This window comes from Homo sapiens, chromosome 14, assembly GCF_000001405.40.
Source record: "Homo sapiens chromosome 14, GRCh38.p14 Primary Assembly".
Taxonomy (NCBI): Eukaryota; Metazoa; Chordata; class Mammalia; order Primates; family Hominidae; genus Homo; species Homo sapiens.
In genome coordinates, this window is record NC_000014.9 from 20,652,880 (window position 1) to 20,672,486 (window position 19,607).

Below are 19,607 nucleotides of genomic sequence, written 5' to 3' on the forward strand. Positions count from 1 at the left end.
AGATTATATAAAAAATTTGAAGATAGTAGAGAAAGCAATGACTTGAAGAATGAGCAGACTCCCAAGGCCACAGCATAGGCTGTGGGAAGCTGGGTAATCCGGAAAGGCCTTGCTAGGTTTCTCCTGGGAGAGTGTGGATGCTGGCTGGCAAAGCCTTTGACCAGGCAGAGATGCAGCCACGTAGTTTTGGTGCGTGCGTGTGCAAAAGAATACGGCAGCTCCTTCGAGCCGGAATCGAACCAGCGACCTAAGGATGTCCACAAATGTTTCTACAGGCTACAGTCCTCCGCTCTACCAGCTGAGCTATCGAAGGGCGCACGTTTCTGGGGTTGGGTCATTGATCTTTCAGCAAATGCAAGACTCCTTGCAACTCTAGTCGTCCAATAAGCTTTAAGTTGGTTGGAACTCGCCTTAGAGAGATAATCCTGCGCCGATCGCCACCGCGCTCCTTTTGCGGCGGAACAAAATCCTCTGGCTGTGGTTGACTGGCTTTCCCCGGCATCGATAACAACGACCCATGAGGGGCGAGCCGGGTAGGGGGCGTGGGGGTAGTGGTGGGAGTGTGCTCTCACTTGCTATCTTCTTCCTCCTGTGCATCCCCCTTTCTACAGGTGAGGATGACAGACCTCAGTGGCAAAAAAAAAAAAAAGTGAGAGGGTGAGAGGCAGAGGGGTTGGCGAGGTGGATGCAGGGTGCGGGGGTCCGGTGAGGGAAGGGTTGCTGGAGGAGAAAGGAGGAGACCTGGAATGGACACTGGTAGAAGGCTTCCAACCCCAGCCGAGCCGCAGGGTCTGGTGGTGGCCGGTAATGAGGCCCTTCCCTAACACTCTGACCTCCCTACACCTTCCACTGCTCTCCCACCCCCTCATCCCCCACCCCCGTTCTTCCTCCCGATGCGCTTTCTGCCTTCTACCTACAGTATCCTAAGTTCACGTATTGGCCCGTTGAGGTGTACTGGGAAGTGAGGGAAAGAACAAATAGAATTAGGTGAGGAGACCCCTCCCAGGGATTGCAGAGGCACATGTAATACCCCTCCTCCCTCGGGGCCAATCTGGTGGTTGGCTTCCCTCCTCTGCAAACCAATCAGAAATATTTTGCCACTTGCAACTTCTAGAAGTAGGACAAGGCTCTGTGGGCTCTGAAAAAGCAAAGGGGCAAGGACCAGCCTGAGCAACACGGCAAAACCTTATCTTTACAAAAATTACAAAAATTAGCTGGGTGTGGTAGCACAAGCTTGTAGTCCCAGCTACTTGGGAGGCTGAGGTGGGAGGATTGCTTGAGGCCAGGAGTTCAAGGCTACAGTGAGCTATGATTATGCCCCTGAATTCTAGCCTGGGTGACAGAAGAGACCCTGTCTAAAAAAAAAAAAAAAAAATAGGGGATGGGTGAAGTAGAAGACAGAAGTGTCAGTGTTGGACTGCTTACCCTGACCCCATGTGTTTGACAATGTTTCAGATCTTATCTGGTGTGTGTCACTATATCGGGGGACCTGCCCCGATAATCATGTAGGTTCTTTTCTATTTTCCTAAGCATCGACTGGCTTGAGAAATAAAAGGACAGAGTACAAAAGAGAGAAATTTTAAAGCTGGGCATCCGGGGGAGACATCACACATTGGTAGGATCCGTGATGCCCCACAAGCCACAAAAACCAGCAAGTTTTTATTAGGGAGTTTCAAAAGGGGAGGGAGATACGAATAGGTGTCGGTGACAGACATCAAGTACTTAACAGGGTAATAGAATATCACAAGGCAAGTGGAGACAGGGCGAGATCACAGGACCACAGGACCGAAGTGAAATTAAAATTGCTAATGAAGTTTTGGCACCATTGTCATTGATAACATCTTATCAGGAGACAGGGTTTTGAGATCAACCGGTCTGACCAAAGTTTATTAGGCGGGAATTTCCTCTTCCTAATAAGCCTGGGAGTGCTATGGGAGACTGGAGTTTATTTCACCTCTGCAATCTCGACCATAAGAGACAGGTACGCCCCGGGGGGGGCCAGTTCAGAGACCTACCCCTAGGTGCGCATTCTCTTTCTCAGGGACGTTCCATGCTGAGAAAAGGAATTCAGCGATATTTCTCCCGTTTGCTTTTGAAAGAAGAGAAATATGGCTCTGTTCCCCCCGGCTCACCGGCGGTCAGAGTTTAAGGTTATCTCTCTTATTCCCTGAACATTGCTGTTATACTGTTCTTTTTTCAGGGTGCCCACATTTCATATTGCTCAAACACACATGCTGTACAATTTGTGTACTTAACGCAATTATTACAGGGTCCTGAGACAATATACATCCTCCTCAACTGACAGGATTAAGAGATTAAAGTAAAGAGAGGCATAGGAAATCACAAGGGTATTGATTGGGGAAGTGATAAGTGTCCATGAAATCTTTACAATTTATGTTTAGAGATTGCAGTAAAGACAGGCACAAGAAATTACAAAAGTATTAATTTGGGGAACTAATAAATGTCCATAAAATCTTCACAATCCACATTCTTCTCTCATGGCTTCAGCCGGTCCCTCTGTTTGGGGTCCCTGACTTCCCGCAACACCACTACCCCAAGACCACTGGGACACCCACCCCCCAGCTGAACACCTACTGGAGGTGCAGCAAGCCACATCCAAGGAACCTGGCCACCATTGAGTTTAAGTCCACTCCCTGTCTTATGGCAAGTGGGTCTGGATCTCTGAGGGCAAGGGTCAGATGCTCACAGAACCCAGCTACTCTGTCATGGCTCAAACAGGAAGAGTTGGTACCCAGGTTTCAACCTTGCTTGTGCTGGCCACCAAAGCCCATTCACTGGCTCACCTCTGATTTTCCCACCAAAACACTAAACAGAGGTTCCGAAGAACCTGGGGGTCTCTATATCCCATCATGAACTTATCCAATAAGGGACAAAGGTACTACATTTCGTCTGTGTTCGCTAGCCTCTGCCTTTGGTGTCATTGGAGGCAGGGATCTCTCTGTGGCTCCAAAGCCATAGAATCATCCTGGGCACTGGCGATGCCACAGCTTGGCCTCCTTCTGTTAGCAATGAGAAGCAGGAAAGGCTGACAAAGCCAGGGGAACATTGGGGGAAATAGGGAGGTGGAGGGAGATCAGGAGCTGCTTCCCAAGAAAGACCTGTGTAGTCTTCAGTTTGAGACCTGCAATGAAACAGCTCTTGTGGCCACAGCAGGTAGTGGAGGCAGGTGTCCCAGTCCCCAGAGGGTTTCAGAGGGCCACGTTCCCATGGGCCATTTGGCTTGGAGTGCTCTCTGTGATAGGTTGCATGTGCGCATCAAATCTCTGGAGATTTTTTCTGAGATGGTGAGATGAGACCAAGGAACGCTTGTTGGCTTTCTTCTCTGCCCCATACCCACAGAACCCACTCCATCTCCCTGGAGGTGTAACCCCTGTTCGTTGGAGAAAACCTAAGTCCATTTCCTACTTCATTCTCTCTGATTAGGCCTCAGCACTTTTTCCTTTGGGGTGAGGGTAGAGTCCAACTGTGCCTCTAGTCCCAAAGCTCCAAACTGCTCAGACCCACCAGGCAGTGGCCTAAGGCAGCGAATTCGTGTGCCTCTGTATAATGACAGCTGTCACTCAAGCTTTACTTCTGCTCCCTGCCATGGACCCAACAGCCTCTAACTCTCCAGGATCACTGAAGCTCTTTTCCAGCCTGCACTTTTGTACTCCCCTTCCATCTCCCTTACCCTCTCAAGTAGCAGGGCACTCAACACAGGTGTTTTTGCTGGCTTTGAACTGAATATTAGGTCCTTTCTTTTCTAGCAGGGGCCAAACTCCGCTGTAGCAGCATGAAAAGTTGTGAAGGCTCAGAAAAAGTGAGGCTTGAGGGATTTGGGAAAAGCTATGGGGATAGGGGATAGACTCACCTTGTCCTCAACCTAAAGGGCAACCTGACCTTGCTAATGGAAGTTCTTAGGATTAGGAAATTCTCAGGGTGACAGCTGTCTCCCCAAAGTAGACACAGCAAAGTGGGAATGAACATTTTCTTTACGCCTGTATAGGTCTATACATTTCCAGCCAAGGAGAATGAGAGGGGCAGGCTGAGGGCTCAGGGAAGAGAGATAGGGAGGCAGAGACACAGAGACAAAGAGAAATATACAGAGACAGAGAAACGGTGAAAGAGAGAAAGAGAATGAGACAGAGACAAACATGAGACTGTCAGATCTCAATGCAGTGATAAAGAGCCTGAGATGGATGAGAGTGAGAGGGTGAGTTTTCACGGAAGATACCACGGTTATCCCCACTTTACACCCTTGTCAAGTAAGCTTGACGTTCTCCAGGGAACTTGACCTTCCAGGCTTTGCCCACCTGGTCAGGAGAGCTCTGTCAAAGGTGAGCACAGCGGTTTTGTCACAGCCAGTGGAGATGCTCAAGCTCGAGAGCAGTCTGTGAAGAAAAGCGAAGGAGCACAGGGTGGGGAAGTAGTGGTCAGCATGAATAGAGGGATTAGTGGGGTCACAAAGTAGAAGCAAGGCGTGGGAAGCTAGGTGATCAGGAAAGACTTCGTGGGTGTTTTGCCCGGGAGAGTGTGGTTACTACTTGGAAGCTGCAGGGCTTTTAACCAAAAGCATCACGCACTTCCTTCGAGCTGGAATCGAACCAGCGACCTAAGGATGTCCGCAAATGTCTATACAATCTACAGTCCTCCGCTCTACCAGCTGAGCTATCGAAGGATGCATGCTATCAAAGCTGGTTCATTGGACTTTCTGCAAACAGAGGGAGCCACATCCCTGGAATGCTTGAGGTCCAATACGCGTTGGGTTGGTTGGCACCCACCTTGGAAGAGAACCCTGCGCCGCTTGACACCACACCCCTTTCAGGGCGGAGCAAATCCTCTGGGCGAGGATGCCTGGTGTCTCTCGGGCTCTGATAGCCACCATCCACGAGGAGGAGCTCTCATCTGTGACAGCCTTCCTCTCCCTGAGCATCCACCTTTCTACAGGTGAGGATGACAGCCCCCAGTGGCCTGAGAGAAAATGAGAAGGTGAGTCAGCGAGGGCACAGGGATTGGCGAGGTGGTTGGGTGGGTCTAGTCGGGGAGAGAACGCTGGAGGAGGAAAAGAGGAGAACCCTAATGGGCGCTGGATAGGCAGCTGACAACTCCAACCCAACCTCAGAGTCTGGTGCAGGTCTCTAATGGGCGCTTCCATAATAGTCTGGCCTCTCTACTCCCTCCCCTACCACACACACAGGGCCCTCCTCCCCAGGTGCCCCGCCCTTCTCCTCATAGTAGTCTATGCTCACATTTTGGTGCATTGAGGTGCACTGGGAAGTGAGGTGAGGAAATCTCTCCCAGGCTTGCAGAGGCACATGTGAGATACCCTCTTCTGCAAACAGGCTGAGAATTCCAATCAGAAGCTGCTGATTTCTGAAGTAGGGCAAAGTTCTGTGGGTTTCTTTGAAAAACAAGAAGCCAGGTAGAGGACAGAAGTGTGAGCTTTGGACTCCTTATCCTGAACCCACATCTTTGACAAAAGTTTCAGATCCCATCTGGTGTGTGCCCACCACTCCGAGACCACTGAGGCACCCTCTCTGCAGCAGAACACCTAGAGGAGGACAGGAAGCCACACCCACGGGACCTAGCCTCCATTGAGTTTATGTCCACTTCCTGTCTTATGGCAAGTGGGTGTGGATCTCCGAGAGTGAGGATCAGATCCTCACAGACATCCTGCTACTCTCTGCCATGGCACAGCTGGGAAGAGTGGGCACCTGGGCTCACCTTCACTTGTGCCAGCCACCAAACCCATTTGTTGGCTCACCTCTGGTTTTTCCCCAAAGCACTGAGCAAAGGTTCCAAGGGCTCTGGTGACTCCACGCCCCATCAGGAATATATCCAATGAAGGCCTGAGGTGCTACCTTTGGTCCCTCTTTGTTAGCTGGTCTTTGCCTTTGGTGTCATTGGAGCTGGGGTCTCTCTGTGCCTCCAGAGCCATAGAAGCATCCCAGAGCACTGGTGACACCAAAGAAGAAAGGTTGACACAGTCGGGGTGACGTGGGGGAGAATAGGCGGTGGCGGGATACCAGGAGCTGCTTTCCATGTGAAAAAGATATGTGCAGTAATATGTGCAGTATCCAGTTTGAGAGGCACAATTAAACAGTTCATGTGGACCCAGCAGGTAGTAGATGGGGCAAGCCAGTCCTAAGCAGGCTTCAGAAGGCCATGCTTTCCTGGGCCATTCAGTTTGGAGTACTCTCTGATAGGTTGCATCTTTACATCAAACATCGGGAAGCTTTTTCCAAGATTATGTGATGAGACCAAAGGATGCTCATTGGCTTTCTTCTCTGCCACATATCCACCAAACCCACTCCAACTCCCCAGAGTTGAAGCTTCACTTGATTGATAAAGCCCAGTCCATTTCTGACTCCATTCTCTCTGACTGGGCCTCAGCACATTTTTCTTGGGAGTAGGAGAACCCAACTGTGCCTCTAGGTCCCAGAGCAAACGCTCCGAACTGCTTAGACCCACGAGGCAGTGGCCTGTCTAAGGAGGCAAATCCACGTGCCTCTGTATAAAGGCAGCTGTCACTCAAGCTTTACGTCTGCTCCCTGCCATGGACCCAATAGCCCCTAACTCTCCAGGATCACTGAAGCTGTTTTGAAGTCTGCACTTCTTTGGTACTCGCTTTCCCTTTCCCTTACCCTCCCAAGTAGGCAGGGCACTTGGTGCAGGTGTTTTTGCAGACTTTGAACTGAGTATTAGATATCCTTACTTTTCCAGCAGTAGCCAAACTTGGCTGTAGCAACATAAAAACTTGTGAAAGCTCAGGAAAGATGAAGCTTGACGGGTCTGGGACAGGGGGATGGGTGGGCAGTTTGTAAATACAAGTGGAAAGGCGTAGGATGGTGGGGGCACGAATTGGGGTCTGGCTGGGTCACAAGGCAAGGGGCACTGTTTTGAGCTGAAGACTATGAGGATTCGGGAAGAATGAATAGGCTCCCAGGCCTGTGATCAGGAAAGGCAGGATTTTGCTGGGTTTTCCTGGGGAAAGTGTAGTTATGACTGGAAGGCTGCAAGGTCTTTGACGAGGAACAGGTGCAGCCAGGCAGCATTGTGCGCAAAAGAGTCAGGCGCTTCCTTCGAGCCGGAATTGAACCAGCGACCTAAGGATGTCCACAAACGTTTCCGCAGTCTACAGTCCTCCGCTCTACCAGCTGAGCTATCGAAGGATGCACACTGTTAAGGCTGGGTCACTGGACTTTCTGCAAATGGAGGAAGCCAAGTCCCTGGACCACCGGAGATCCAATACTCGTTGAGTTAATTGGAACCCGACTTGGAAGAGAACTCTGCGCCGGTCTCCACTGCGCCCCTTTCCGGACAGAGCAAATCCTCTGGGCCCGGGGGGGTGCCTGGCGTCTCTGGGGCGCCGATAGCCACGATCCACGAGGAGGAGCTCTCACCTGTGGCCTTCCTCTCCCTCTGCATCGCTCTTTCTGCTTGTGAAGATGACAGCCCTTAGTGGCCAGAGGGAAAATGAGGTAAGACGGCGAGGGCAGAGGGCTTGGTGAGACTGATGGGTGGGTCCAGTGGAGGAGAGGACACTGGAGGAGGAAAAGAGGAGAACCAGCATGGGCGTGGTGTAAGCAGCTTCCAACCCCAGCCTAGCGTCAGGGTCTGATGGAAGACCATAAGGGGGCACTGCCCTAACAGCCTGTCCTCTACTTCCCACCACCTCAAACACACTCCTCTCGATGTGCGCGGCCCTTCTACCCAGTGTCCTATGCTCACTTTTTGGAGTATTGAGGCATAATGGGAAGAGAGGGAGGAAATGCAGGAGGATAGGTGGAGGCCAGGTATGGTGGCTCGCACCGCAATTCCAACAATTTAGCGGGCCGAGGCGAAAGGGGCGCTTGAGCGCAGGAGTTCGAGATCAGCCTGGGCAACATAGGGAGAAGCCATCTCTACAGAAAAACTTCTAAAAAGTATCCGGGTGTGGTGGCCTGCACCTGTGGTCCTGGCCACTCAGCAGGCTGAGGTGGGAGGATCATCTGAGCCCGGGTGTTCGAGGCTACAGTAAGCTGTGATCTTGCCACTGCACTCCAGCCTGGGCGACAGAGACAATTTAAAAAAAAAAAAAAAAAGATATGTGGGGAGAGAGTAGGGCCAGGGGCTCGCAGATCACCATGTGATACCCATTACCTCTAACCCCAAAGGCCAGCATAAAAGCTTCGATCCAGTCCTCTGCTACTGACCAAGAATCCTTTCCCAGAGGCTGCTGCTTTCTAAAGTAGGGGCCCCTGGAAAGAAAAGGGGGCTGATAGAGGAAACCAGGTGAGCTTTGGACCCCTTACCTAGGCCACAAATTGTTACAAAGGGTTCATATCCCATATGGTGTGTGTCCACTATCCCAAGACCACTCATCACCCACACAAACAGTGAGACAGTTACTGGTGGCACAGCAAGCTGAACCCAAAAGACCCACCCTTTATTGAGTTTATAGGGGAAAAGTCATGGTCAGGGATCACCCACACTTTTGCTGATGACCAAACACCACTCAATGGCCCACCTCTGTTTTTTCCCTCAAAGCACCAAGCCTAGGTTCCAAAAAACCTGGTACCGCCACATCTTATCAAGGACATATCCAGTATAGACCAAAGGTTCTACTTTGGTTTCTGTTTGCTGATCTCTGCAGCAATGTCATTCGAGGCTGGGATCTCTCTGGGGCTGCAGAGCTACAGAATGTTGCTGGGGCACTGGTGAGTCCACAGCTCTGCCCCTTTCCATCAGCAGTGGGAAGCAGGAAAGGCTGATACAACAGAGAAGAGGTAGGGAATAGGCCGTAGGGGGAGAACAGGATCTGCTTTCTAGGAGGGGAAGACATGTGTACTCTCTAGTTTGAGACGCAGAGTGAAAAAGCAGTTATGCCCATCGGGTAGGGGAGAGTGGTCACCGGGTTCCCAGAAGGCCTCTGAGAACCAAATTTCCATCACTGTTTTGCTTGCAGTGCTCTCTGTGATAATTTTCATCTGTATATCAAGCGTCTGAAGATTTTTTTTTTTTTCCCCAGAGCATAGGATGGGACCAGGGGACACTCATTGTGGTTCCTCTCTGGCTCATACTTTGATGAACCCACTTCATCTTCCCAGAGGTGAAGCCCAGTTGGTGAAAGCCAAGCCCATTTCCTGCTTCATGCTCTCAGATTGTGCCAGCCATCTTCCTCTTGTAGAAGGCGCAACCTTCCAGCTGTGCCTGCAGAGCCCCCACATAAAAGTGAGCATGCTGCTCAGATGCAACAAGCCAGTGGCCTAAGGAGGTGAACTTGTGTACCTCTGCAAGGTGGCAGCTGCCACCCAAGCTTCAATTCTGCTCCCTGCCAGGGACCCAACAGCCCCCAACCCTCCCGGGTCACTGAAGTTCTTTCCAAGTCTGCCCTTTTATACTCTCTTTCCCTCTCTCACACCTTCACAACCAGTAAGACACTTGGTATAGGTGTTTTTGCAGACTTTGAACTGAGTGGAAGGTATCTTTCTTCTTCCAGCAGGAGCCCAAAGTTTACTGTAGCAACATTAAAAGGTGCGAAGGCTCGGGAAATGTGAGGCTTGGTGTATGTGGGAAGGGGGCACATTTTTGTTCTCAACCTGAAGGAAAATATTATGGAGCCAGTGGAAGCCCTATTTATTAAGAAAATCTCAGGGCGGCAACTCTCTCCCACAAATAGACAAAACAAAACAGAAATGAACATTTTCTGTCTGTATACATCTATACATTACAAGCAAAAGATAATGAGAGAACTAGAGTCAGAGAAAAACAGAGAGAGAGAGAGAGAATGCTCAGATAGAAAAGCATTTGCTAGAGACCTGGAGAAGGAGATGAGAGAGAGACAGCATAGAGAGCATTTTTTTTTTTTCCTGAGGATGTCACAGTTGTCTCTGACCCTTTTCTCTTCCAGCAGGCTTGATCTTCTAGGAGTTGATGGTGGGCCCACTGGTTTAATAGATCGAGAGATCTATCAATGGTGAGCACACAATGTTGCTAGAGTCCATGGCCCTCAGCACCCAGAGCAGTCTGTGGATAAAAGTGAAAGAGCTCTGGATGGTGGGGGTGCGAAGGGGGTTGGGGAGAGGGGCTGACTGGGTCACAAAGCAGAAGCAAGGGGCCCTTTGCGTTGAAGAGTACCTGTCCCTGGACTGTGGGAAGAATGAGTGGGCTTACGGGCGTGTTTCCTGGCCACAGCACAGGTGTGGAAACCAGGTGATCAGGAAAGGTTTCTCTGGGTTTTGACTGGGAGGGTGTGGGTGGATACTAGTTGGAGGCTGCAGGGCGTTTGACCAGGCACCAGGTGGCATTGCATGCAAAAGCATCGGGCACTTCCTTCGAGCCGGAATCGAACCAGCGACCTAAGGATGTCCGCAAATGTCTGTACAATCTACAGTCCTCCGCTCTACCAGCTGAGCTATCGAAGGGTGCACGCTGCAAGAGCTGGATCACTGGACTTTCCGCAAATGGAGGAAGCCAAGTCCTTGGAACGCTGGAGTCAACACACTTAGAGTTGATTGGAACCCGCCTTAGAAGAGAACCTTGCGCTGGTTGCCACCGCGCACCTCTCAGGGTGGAGCAAATCCTCCGAGTGTGGTTTCCTCGCGTCCCAGAGCGCTGATAGCCACAATCCAGGACGGGAGGCTCTCGCCTGTGGCCTTCCTCCACCTGTGCATCTCTGTTTTTACAAGTGAGGATGACAGCCCTCAGCGAAAGAAAACAAGAGGGTGAGAGGGCTCGGTCAGAGGGATGGGCTAGGTGGATGGGTGGATCCTGTGGGACAGGGGTTGCAGGAGGAGGAAAGAAGAACTCGGAAAGCTTCTGGGTGGGCGGCCGCTATCCGCAGACCAGCTGCAGGGTCTGCTGAAAGTCCTTAAGCAGCCCTTTCCTAAAACTCTGGCCTTCCTACTCCCTTCCCGGCCAACACACACATGCCCCTTCTCCCGATGTGCCTCCGCCCTTTTCCCTACAGTGTCCTATGCTTGCTTTTTGGCGCATTCAAGTGTGCTAGAAGTGAGAGAGAGAACAAATGGGACTAGGTGAGAAGAACTCGCCCAGGGCTTGCAGATGCACTGTGATACCCTCCTTCCTCCCCAGCGCCCAACTGGGGCTTGGCTTCCCTCCTCTGCAAACTGACCAAGAACTCTTTTTTTTTTCTCCCCCAGAGGCTTCCTCTTTCTGAAGTAGGGCAAGTATATTAGTCCGTTTTCATGCTGCGGATAAAGACATACCCGAGACTGGGATGAAAAAGAGGTTTAATTGGACTCACAGTTCCACATGCCTAGGGGGCCTCAGAATCATGGCTGGAGGTGAAAGGCACTTCTTCTTCTTCTTCTTCTTCTTCTTCTTTTTTTTTTTTTTTTTTTGAGATGGAGTTTCACTCTCGTTGCCCAGGCTGGAGTGAAATGGCGCGATCTCAGCTCACCGCCACCTCCGCCTCCCAGGTTCAAGCGATTCTGCCGCCTCAGCCTCCGGAGTAGCTGGGATTACAGGTATGCGCCGCCACGCCCGGCTAATTTTGCATTTTTAGTAAAGACTTGGGGTTTCTCCATGTTGGCCAGGCTGGTCTTGAACTCCCGACCTTAGGTGATCCACCCTCCTCGGCCTCCCAAAGTGCTGGGATTACAGGCGTGAGCCACCCCTCCTGTCCAAGGCACTTCTTACATGGCAGAGGCAGGAGAAAATAAGAGAGAAGCAAAAGCGGAAACCCCTGGTAAACCCATCAGATCTTGTGAGACTTATTCACTATCCTGAGAATAGCACTGGAAAAACTGGCCCCCGTGATTCAATTATCTCCCCCTGGTCCCTCTCACAACACGTGGGAATTTTGGGAGATACAATTCAAGTTGAGATTTGGGTAGGGACACAGCCAAACAGTATCATTCCGCCCCTGGCCTCTCTAAATCTCATGTCCTCACATTTGAACACCAATTATGCCTTCCCAACAGTCCCCCAAAGTCTTAACTCATTTCAGCGTTAACCCAAAAGTCCACAGTCCAAAGTCTTATCTAAGACAAGGAAAGTCCCTTCTGCCTATGAGCCTGTAAAATCAAAAGCAAGCTCGTTACTTCCTAGACACAATGGGGGTACAGGTATTGGATAAATACAGCCATTCCAAATGGGAGAAATTTGCCAAAACGAAGGAGTTACAGAGCCCATGCAAGTCCGAAATCCAGCAGGGCTGTCAAATTTTAAAGCTTCAAAATGATCTCCTTTGACTTCAGGTCTCACATCCAGGTCACACTGATGCAAGAGGTGGATTCCCATGGTCTTAGGCAGCTCCACCCCTGTGTCTTTGAAGGATACAGCCTCTCTCCAAGCTGCTTTCCTGGGCTGGCCTTGAGGGTCTGCAGCTTTTCCAGGTGCACGGTGCAAGCTGTCAGTGGATCTACCATTCTGGGGTCTGGAGGATAGTGGCCCTCTTCTCACAGCTCCACTAGGCAATGCCCCAGTAGGGACTCTGTGTGGGGGCTCTGACCACACATTTCCCTTTCACATTGTCCTAGCAGAGGTTCTCCATAAGGGCCCCACCCCTGCAGCAAGCTTTTGCCTGGGCATCCAAGCGTTTCCATACTCTTCTGAAATCTAGGAGGAGGTTCCCAAACCTCAATTCTTGACTTCTGTGCACCCGCAGGCTCAACACCACATGGAAGCTGCCAAGGCTTGGGGCTTCCACCCTCTGAAGCTACCGCCCAAGCTGTATGTTAGCCCCTTTCAGCCACAGGGGGAGCAGCTGGGACACAGAGCACGGAGTTCCTAGGCTGCACACAGCACTAGGACCCTGGGCCCGGCCCACGAAACCACTTTTTCCTCCTGGGCTTCTGGGCCTGTGATGGATGGGAGGGGCTGCCGTGGTGGTCTCTGACATGGCCTGGAGACATTTTCCCCATGGTCTTGGGGATTAACATTAGGCTTCTTGCTACTTGTGCAAATTTCTGTAGCCAGTTTGAATTTCTCACCAGAAAATGGGTTTGGGTTTTTCTTTTCTATCACATAGTCAGGCTGCAAATTTTCCAAACTTTTATGTTCTGCTTCCTATATAAAACTGAACGCCGCCGGGCGTGTTGGCTCACGCCTGTAATCCCAGCACTTTAGGAGGCCGAGGCGGGCGGATCACAAGGTCAGGAGATCAAGGCTAACATGGTGAAACCCCGTCTCTACTAAAAATACCAAAAAAAAATTAGCCGGGCGTGGTGGCGGTCACCTGTAGTTCCAGCTACTCGGAAGGCTGAGACAGGAGAATGGTGTGAACCCAGGAGGCAGAACTTGCAGTGAGCCGATATCGCGCCACTGCACTCCAGCCTGGGCGACAGAGCAAGACTCCATCTCAAAAAAAAAAAAAAACCAAAACTGAATGCCTTTAACATACCCAAGTCACCTCTTGAATGCTTTGCTGCTTAGAAATTTCTTCTGCCAGGTACCCTAAATCATCTTACTCAAGTTCAAAGTTCCACAAATCTTTAGGGCAGAGGCAAAATGCTGTTAATTTCTTTGCTAAAACATAACAAGAATAATCTTTGCTCCAGTTCCCAACAAGTTCCTTATCTCCATCTGAGACCACCTCAGCCTGCATTTTATTATCCATATCACTATCAGCATTTTGGGTAAAGTCATTCAACAAGTCTCTAAGAAGTTCCAAACTTTCCCACATTTCCGTGTCTTCTTCTGAACCCTCCAAACTGTTCCAATCTATGCCTGTTACCCAGTTCCAAAGTCACTTCCGCATTTTTGGGTATCTTTTCAGCAATGCCGCACTCTACTGGTACCAATTTACTGTATTAGTCCATTTTCACGCTGCTGATAAAGACATACCCCAGAGTGGGATGAAAAAGAGGTTTAATTGGACTTACAATTTCACATGGCTGGGGAGGCCTCAGAATCATGGTGGGAGGCAAAAGGCACTTCTTACATGACAGTGGCAGGAGAAAATGAAAGAGAAGCAGAGCAGAAACCCCTGATAAACCCATCAGATCTCGTGAGACTTATTCACAAGAATAGCACAGGAAAGACTGGCCCCCATGATTCAATTACCTCCGCCTGGGTCCCTCCCACAACACGTTGGAATTTTGGGAGATACAATTCAAGTTGAGATTTGGGTGGGGACACAGCCAAGCCATATCAGCAAGGTTCTGTGGGTTTCTTGGAAAAAAAAAAAAAAAAACAAAATAAACAAACAAAAAAATGGTGGCAGAGTACAGAGGTGTGAGTTTCTCCTGACACCACATCTTTGGCAAAGGTTTCAGATCCCATCTGCTGTATGCCCACCACCCCAAGACCACGGAGACACCCACCCCCCTGCTGAACACCTAGTGGGGGTACAGCAAGCCACCCCAAGGGACCTAGCATCCATTGAGTTTAAGTCCACTCCCTGTCTTATGCTAAGTGGGTCTGAATGGCCAAAGGTGAGAGTCAGATGCATGAACACCCCTTGCTACTCTGTCATGTCCCAGACTGGAAAAGTGGGCATCTGGGGTTCACCCTCGCTTGTGCTGGTCACCAAAGCCCACTACCTGGCCCCCTTCTGCTTTTGCCCTCAAAACACCAAACTGAGGTTTCAGAGGACCTGTACCTCCATGTCCCATCAGGAACATATCTAATGAAGACCTAAGGTGCTACCTTTGGTCCCTGTTCACTGGTCTCTGTTTTTGGTGTCACTGGAGACTGGGGTCTCTCTGCAGCTCCACAGCCATACAATCGTCTCAGAGCACTGGTGAATCCACAGCTTGGCTCCTTTCCACTAGCAGTGAGAAGTGGGAAAGATTGACACAGCCGGGGGAACGTGAGGGGAATAGGCAGTGTTGGGGGAGACCGTCTGCTGCTTTCCAGGAGAAGAAGACACATACAGTCTCCAGATTGAGACCCACAATGAAGCAGTTCTTGTGGCCACAGAGGGTAGGGGAGGGCAGGGACCCAGTCCTCAAAGGGCTTCAGAGGGCCATGCTCCCATGGACCACTGGGCTTAGAGTGCTCTCTGTGATAGGTTGCATCTGTACACCAAGTGTCTGATGCACATTTTTCTGAGATCTTGGGATGAGACCAAGGGACACTCATTGGCTTTCTTCTCTGCCCCATACCCACAAAACCCACTGCATCTCCACAGATATGAAGCTCCACTGGTTGGTGAAAGCCCAGTCCATTTTCTGCTCCATCCTCTCTGACTGGGCTTCAACATATTTTTCTCAGAGGTAGGAGAGCCCAACTGTGCTGCTAGATCCTAGTGCAAAAGGTCCAAACTGCTCAGACCCACCAGGCAGTGGCCTTTCTAAGGAGGTGAATTTGTGTGCCGCTGTATGATGACAGATGTCACTCAAGTTTCACTTCTGTTTCCTGTCATAGACCAACAATCCCCAACTCTCCCAAGTCACTGAAGCTCTTTTCAGGCCTGCCATTTTGTACTTCCTTCCTGCTCTCACAGCCTCCTAAGTGGCAGGTGTTTTTGACATCTTTGAACTAAGCGGTGAGTGTTAGGTATTCTTACTCTTCCAGCAGGAGCCAAGCCCAGCTGTAGCAAAATAAAAAGATGTGAAGACTCAGGAAAGGTGAGGCTTGAGGGATTTAGGACAGGGGTGAGTGGGTAGACACACCATGTCCTCATCCCATGGGGCAACCTGACCTTGCCAATGGAGGTTCTTTGCCTTAGAAAATTCTCAGGGTGGCTGCTGTCTCCCCAAGTAGACACAACATAGCAAGGATGAGCATTTTCTGTCTGTATGAGTCTATACATTTCCGGCAAAGGAGAATGAGAGAGACACAGAGTGCTAGGGAGAAGGGGCAGAGACAGACAGAGAGAAATATACACAGACAGAGAGAGAAATTGTGAAAGAGAGAGAGAGAATGAGATACAGACAGAGGTGAGGTAGTAATAGCTCAGGAAGGAAATGAGGGGGAGAGGGTGAGTTCACGGATGGTATCATGGTTGTCCTCGACCCTACACTGTTGTCCTGAATGCTTGATGGTCTCCTGGGAGCTTGGCTTTCCAGGGTTTGCCAACCTGGTCAGGAGAGCTTGGTCACAGATGAATCCAGCTGTGTTGCCAGATTCCCCAGCAGTGCTTAGGTCCAAAAGCACCCTGTGAATAAAAATGAAGCAGCCCTGAGATGGTAAGGGTTCGGATGGGGGATTGGCTGGGTCACAAAGCAGAAGTAAGGGGCACTTTGCACTGAAGTGTACTGGCAACAGCACAGGCATGGCAAGCTAGGTAATCTGGATAAGGCTTTGCTGGGTTTTGCCTGGGAGAGTGTGGCGACAGCAGGGCGTTTGACCAGGCAGAGGTGCAGCCAGGGAGCACTGGTGTGTGTACAAAAGACTCAGACACTTCCCTCAAGCAGGAATTGAACCAGCAACCTAAGGATGTCCACAGATGTGTACAGTCCTCCACTCTATCAGCTGATCTCTCAAAGAGCACACAAAGTTAGAGCTGGGTCACTGGACTTTCTGCAAATGGAGGACACCAAGTCCCTGGAATGCCAGAGGTCCAATATGTGTTGGGTTGGTTGGAACCTGCCTTGGAAGAGAACCCTGCGCTCTTGTTGCCCAGGATGGAGTGCAATGGCACAATCTTGGCTTACTGCAACCTCCACCTCCCAGGTTCAAGCAATTCGCCTGCCTCAGCCTCCCGAGTAGCTGGGATTACAGGCATGTGCTGCCATGCCTGGCTAATTTTGTATTTTTAGTAGAGACTTGGGGTTTCTCCATGTTGGTCAGGCTGATCTCGAACTCCTGACCTCAAGTGATCTGCCTGCCTCGGCCTCCCAAAGTGCTGGGATTACAGGCGTGAGCTACTGTGCCCAGCCCGGAATAAAACAGTTTTACTTCTTCCTTTAAACATGGATGGCTTCCATTTTTATTTTTTTGCATTACTGTTCAAGAATCTCCACACATTGCTGATGATAGTGATGAAAGCAGATGTCCTTGCTTGTCCTAATCTCACAGGGAAATCATTCAGTCTTTCATCATTAAGTGTATTGTTAGCTGAAAGTTTTTCATACGTGCCCTTTATCAGATTGAGAAAAGGCCCTTCTATTTCTAATTCGCTGAGTTTATATGAGAAGCGAATGTGTAGCGGGCATTGGTGGCTCATGTCTATAATCTAAGCGCTTTGGAAAGCCAAGATGAGAGGATCACTTTAGCCCAGGAGTGCAAGACCAACGTGGGCAACAAAGTGAGAACCCGCCTTTATGAAAAATTTTAAAACATTATCAGGGCGCCAGGCGCAGTGGCTCACGCCTGTAATCCCAGCACTTTGGGAGGCTGAGGCGGGAGGATCACCTGAGGTCAGGAGTTCCAGACCAGCCTGGCCAACATGGTGAAACCCCATCTCTACTAAAAATACAAAAAAATTAGCCAGGTGTGGTGGTGGGAGCCTGTAATCCCAGCTACTCGGGAGGCTGAGGCAGGAGAATCACTTGAATTTGGGAGGCGGAGGTTGCAGTGAGATCGCACCTCTGCACTCCAGCCTGGGCAACAAAGAGCGAAACTCCATCTCAAAGAAAAAAAAAAACGAAAATAAAGAAAAAGATATTATCAGGGCATGGTGGCACACACTGGTAGTCCCAGCTACTCAGGAGGCTGAGGCAGGAAGATCACTTGAGCCTAAGAAGTTGAGGCTGTAGTGAGCTATGGTTGTGCCACTGCCCTTCAGCTTGGGGGACAGAGGGAAACCCTCATCTCTAAAAATATAAGTAAGCAATAAATAAACAAATGTGAAATTGTGACAAATGTTTTGTCTACATCTTTTGATATAATCATGTTTTTCTTTTTAATATAATATAGTTTGTTAATATAATAAATTACATTGATTAATTTTGAATATCAAACCAAATTTGCTTTTCTGGGATAAATCCCCCTTGATTCTGATGTATCATTATTTTATATACTGTTGGATTCAACTCGCCGAAGTTATGTTAAACTTTTTGGCTTCCATGTTCTTAAGAGACACTGACCTGTAGTTTTCTTTCTTTTGAAGTATCTTTGCTTTTAATATCAGAATACACTGTCCTCATGTAAAGAGTTGAGAATTATTATCTCCTCTCCAGTTTTGCTGCAAGAAGTTGTGTAGAATTGTCATTATTCCTGAAACATTTATTAAAATTCACCAGTGAAGTTATCTGAGCTTGGTAAATACATCCCAGAGCATAAAAACTGAAGCAACTGGAGCCCCAGTGAGGCTAGAACTCACACCTTTGTTACAGCCTGGCGCATTAACCCTTGACTTGCTGACCTTACTATTTTACTCTTCTAGGAGACATCTTCATTTTGTTGATCCACAACCAAGAAAACTAACAGAAGGAAAAAGGAATAGATATTTGTCTCTAGGCTCAAGCAATTGCAACCCTCCTCCCAAAGTCATCATACAAGAAGACAAGGCCCCAGGCCAGACCAGGAATACAATCTGCATAAATGTTGTCTGGACAAAGCCCTTGCCCCCATCCCCCTCCTGATTTTTCCTGCATGGCACTTGTCAGAAAAAGGAAAATCTGAAAGAACAATGTTTAAAAGTGGCCCAAGATGGCTGCAGGTTGAGCATATAGGTAATAGAAACTAGACCTATGAACTAAAGCTGAACTCTAGCCTGAAAGGCTAAAGTTTGTCTTTTTTTGTCTTTTTTTTTTTTTTTGAGACAGAGTCTTGCTCTGTTGCCCAGGCTGGAGTGCAGTGGCATGATTTCGGCTCACTGCAACCTGCTGCCTCCTAGGTTCAAGTGATCCTCCTGCCTCAGCCTCCCAAGTAGCTGGGACTATAGGCACACACCACCATGTCTGGCTACTTTTTGTATTTTTTTTTTTTTTTTTAGCAGAGTCAGGGTTTTGCCATGTTGGGCAAGCTGGTCTCAAACTCCTGACCTCAGGTAACCACCTACGTCTGCTTCCCAAAGTTCTGGGATTACAGCCGCGAGCCACCACACCCAGCCATGTCAAATGTTTTCACTGATGTCTACTGATTGTAACCTTGCCTAGCAGATGAAGCACAAAGGCAGTGTCAACTGAAAAGTGACATAACAGGCACTTGAACTTAAAGAAGTCATGGTTAGATTTATTCTCAGCCAAGTTTGAGGAGTTATGCCTGAGAACACAGACTTAGAATAGACCTACAATAGGTCCCAAAGTAGTTTACATGAGGCACAGTATACTTAAATTTTCTAACGGGGATGTGTGTGGCACAGGAGGGAGAAGTGGTTAATGAAACAGTGGTTACATTGTTGTGATTCTGATGAGTGCTCAGTGATGCCATACATAAGGTAAATATACAGTTGAGTGAGTAGGGAGAAAGGCTAAGCATCTTAGAGTCTGGTGGAGGAAGGGTGACTAATTCCATTCTGTCTTTGTTCTACATCTGATAAACAGGTTCATGGCCAGCCCCTGTCAACAAACTCCAGTTACACAGGCAAGAGATCAGCTTTAGTTTATAGGCCTGGGTTTTATTACCCATATGCCCAACTGCAGCCATTGTGGGCCCATATTAACATTTTATTTGAATTTTCCTTTTTCTAACAGCAAGATAACATCAGTCATTCCCCTCCAAACCCTAAGATGCGTACATACTCCTTTACTTGTTACCCTATCCCTATATATGTTAACCACACTTTTGGTTTGTCTGTGAATACCATCACTAAACATCAGTCAAAACTG

At 49.2% G+C, this 19,607-nt stretch overlaps 1 long non-coding RNA gene and 4 other non-coding genes across 6 annotated transcripts, besides 6 other annotated features; 1 reads left to right on the top strand and 4 right to left on the bottom strand.

Moving 5' to 3' along the window:
• Positions 1-219: 219 nt before the first annotated feature.
• TRY-GTA5-3 (tRNA-Tyr (anticodon GTA) 5-3) lies at positions 220-313 on the bottom strand. Its single transcript has 2 exons — positions 277-313; positions 220-255 (listed from the first exon to the last, which is right to left on the bottom strand). It is a non-coding gene; the product is annotated as a tRNA-Tyr (tRNA).
• A 119-nt stretch (positions 314-432) lies between these two features.
• LOC124903281 (uncharacterized) lies at positions 433-9,534 on the top strand. Of its 2 annotated transcripts, XR_007064060.1 has the most exons (3): positions 543-611; positions 4,826-4,989; positions 5,483-5,850. It is a non-coding gene; the product is annotated as an uncharacterized LOC124903281 (long non-coding RNA). The 2 variants fall into 2 exon arrangements; XR_007064059.1 differs by having other exon boundaries at positions 433-611; positions 4,826-9,534.
• On the bottom strand, positions 4,585-4,678 carry TRY-GTA4-1 (tRNA-Tyr (anticodon GTA) 4-1). Its single transcript has 2 exons — positions 4,642-4,678; positions 4,585-4,620 (listed from the first exon to the last, which is right to left on the bottom strand). It is a non-coding gene; the product is annotated as a tRNA-Tyr (tRNA).
• On the bottom strand, positions 7,079-7,172 carry TRY-GTA7-1 (tRNA-Tyr (anticodon GTA) 7-1). The gene is made up of 2 exons: positions 7,136-7,172; positions 7,079-7,114 (listed from the first exon to the last, which is right to left on the bottom strand). It is a non-coding gene; the product is annotated as a tRNA-Tyr (tRNA).
• Positions 8,543-8,762: a silencer, noted in NCBI's record as "fragment chr14:21129581-21129800 (GRCh37/hg19 assembly coordinates)". NCBI's record gives its function as "represses an EF-1alpha promoter that drives an FKBP-Casp9 reporter gene in an ReSE screen in both phorbol 12-myristate 13-acetate-treated (for megakaryocytic differentiation) and untreated K562 erythroleukemia cells {active_cell/tissue: K562 | K562(+PMA)}" and the evidence as "EXISTENCE:reporter gene assay evidence [ECO:0000049][PMID:32094911]".
• Positions 10,313-10,406, bottom strand: TRY-GTA5-4 (tRNA-Tyr (anticodon GTA) 5-4). Its single transcript has 2 exons — positions 10,370-10,406; positions 10,313-10,348 (listed from the first exon to the last, which is right to left on the bottom strand). It is a non-coding gene; the product is annotated as a tRNA-Tyr (tRNA).
• Positions 10,321-10,600: an enhancer, noted in NCBI's record as "active region_8084". NCBI's record gives its function as "activates an Ori minimal core promoter by ATAC-STARR-seq in GM12878 lymphoblastoid cells {active_cell/tissue: GM12878}" and the evidence as "EXISTENCE:reporter gene assay evidence [ECO:0000049][PMID:35858748]".
• Positions 10,711-10,780: a silencer, noted in NCBI's record as "silent region_5572". NCBI's record gives its function as "represses an Ori minimal core promoter by ATAC-STARR-seq in GM12878 lymphoblastoid cells {active_cell/tissue: GM12878}" and the evidence as "EXISTENCE:reporter gene assay evidence [ECO:0000049][PMID:35858748]".
• Positions 13,842-13,951: an enhancer, noted in NCBI's record as "active region_8085". NCBI's record gives its function as "activates an Ori minimal core promoter by ATAC-STARR-seq in GM12878 lymphoblastoid cells {active_cell/tissue: GM12878}" and the evidence as "EXISTENCE:reporter gene assay evidence [ECO:0000049][PMID:35858748]".
• Positions 15,090-15,429: an enhancer, noted in NCBI's record as "active region_8086". NCBI's record gives its function as "activates an Ori minimal core promoter by ATAC-STARR-seq in GM12878 lymphoblastoid cells {active_cell/tissue: GM12878}" and the evidence as "EXISTENCE:reporter gene assay evidence [ECO:0000049][PMID:35858748]".
• Positions 16,080-16,269: an enhancer, noted in NCBI's record as "active region_8087". NCBI's record gives its function as "activates an Ori minimal core promoter by ATAC-STARR-seq in GM12878 lymphoblastoid cells {active_cell/tissue: GM12878}" and the evidence as "EXISTENCE:reporter gene assay evidence [ECO:0000049][PMID:35858748]".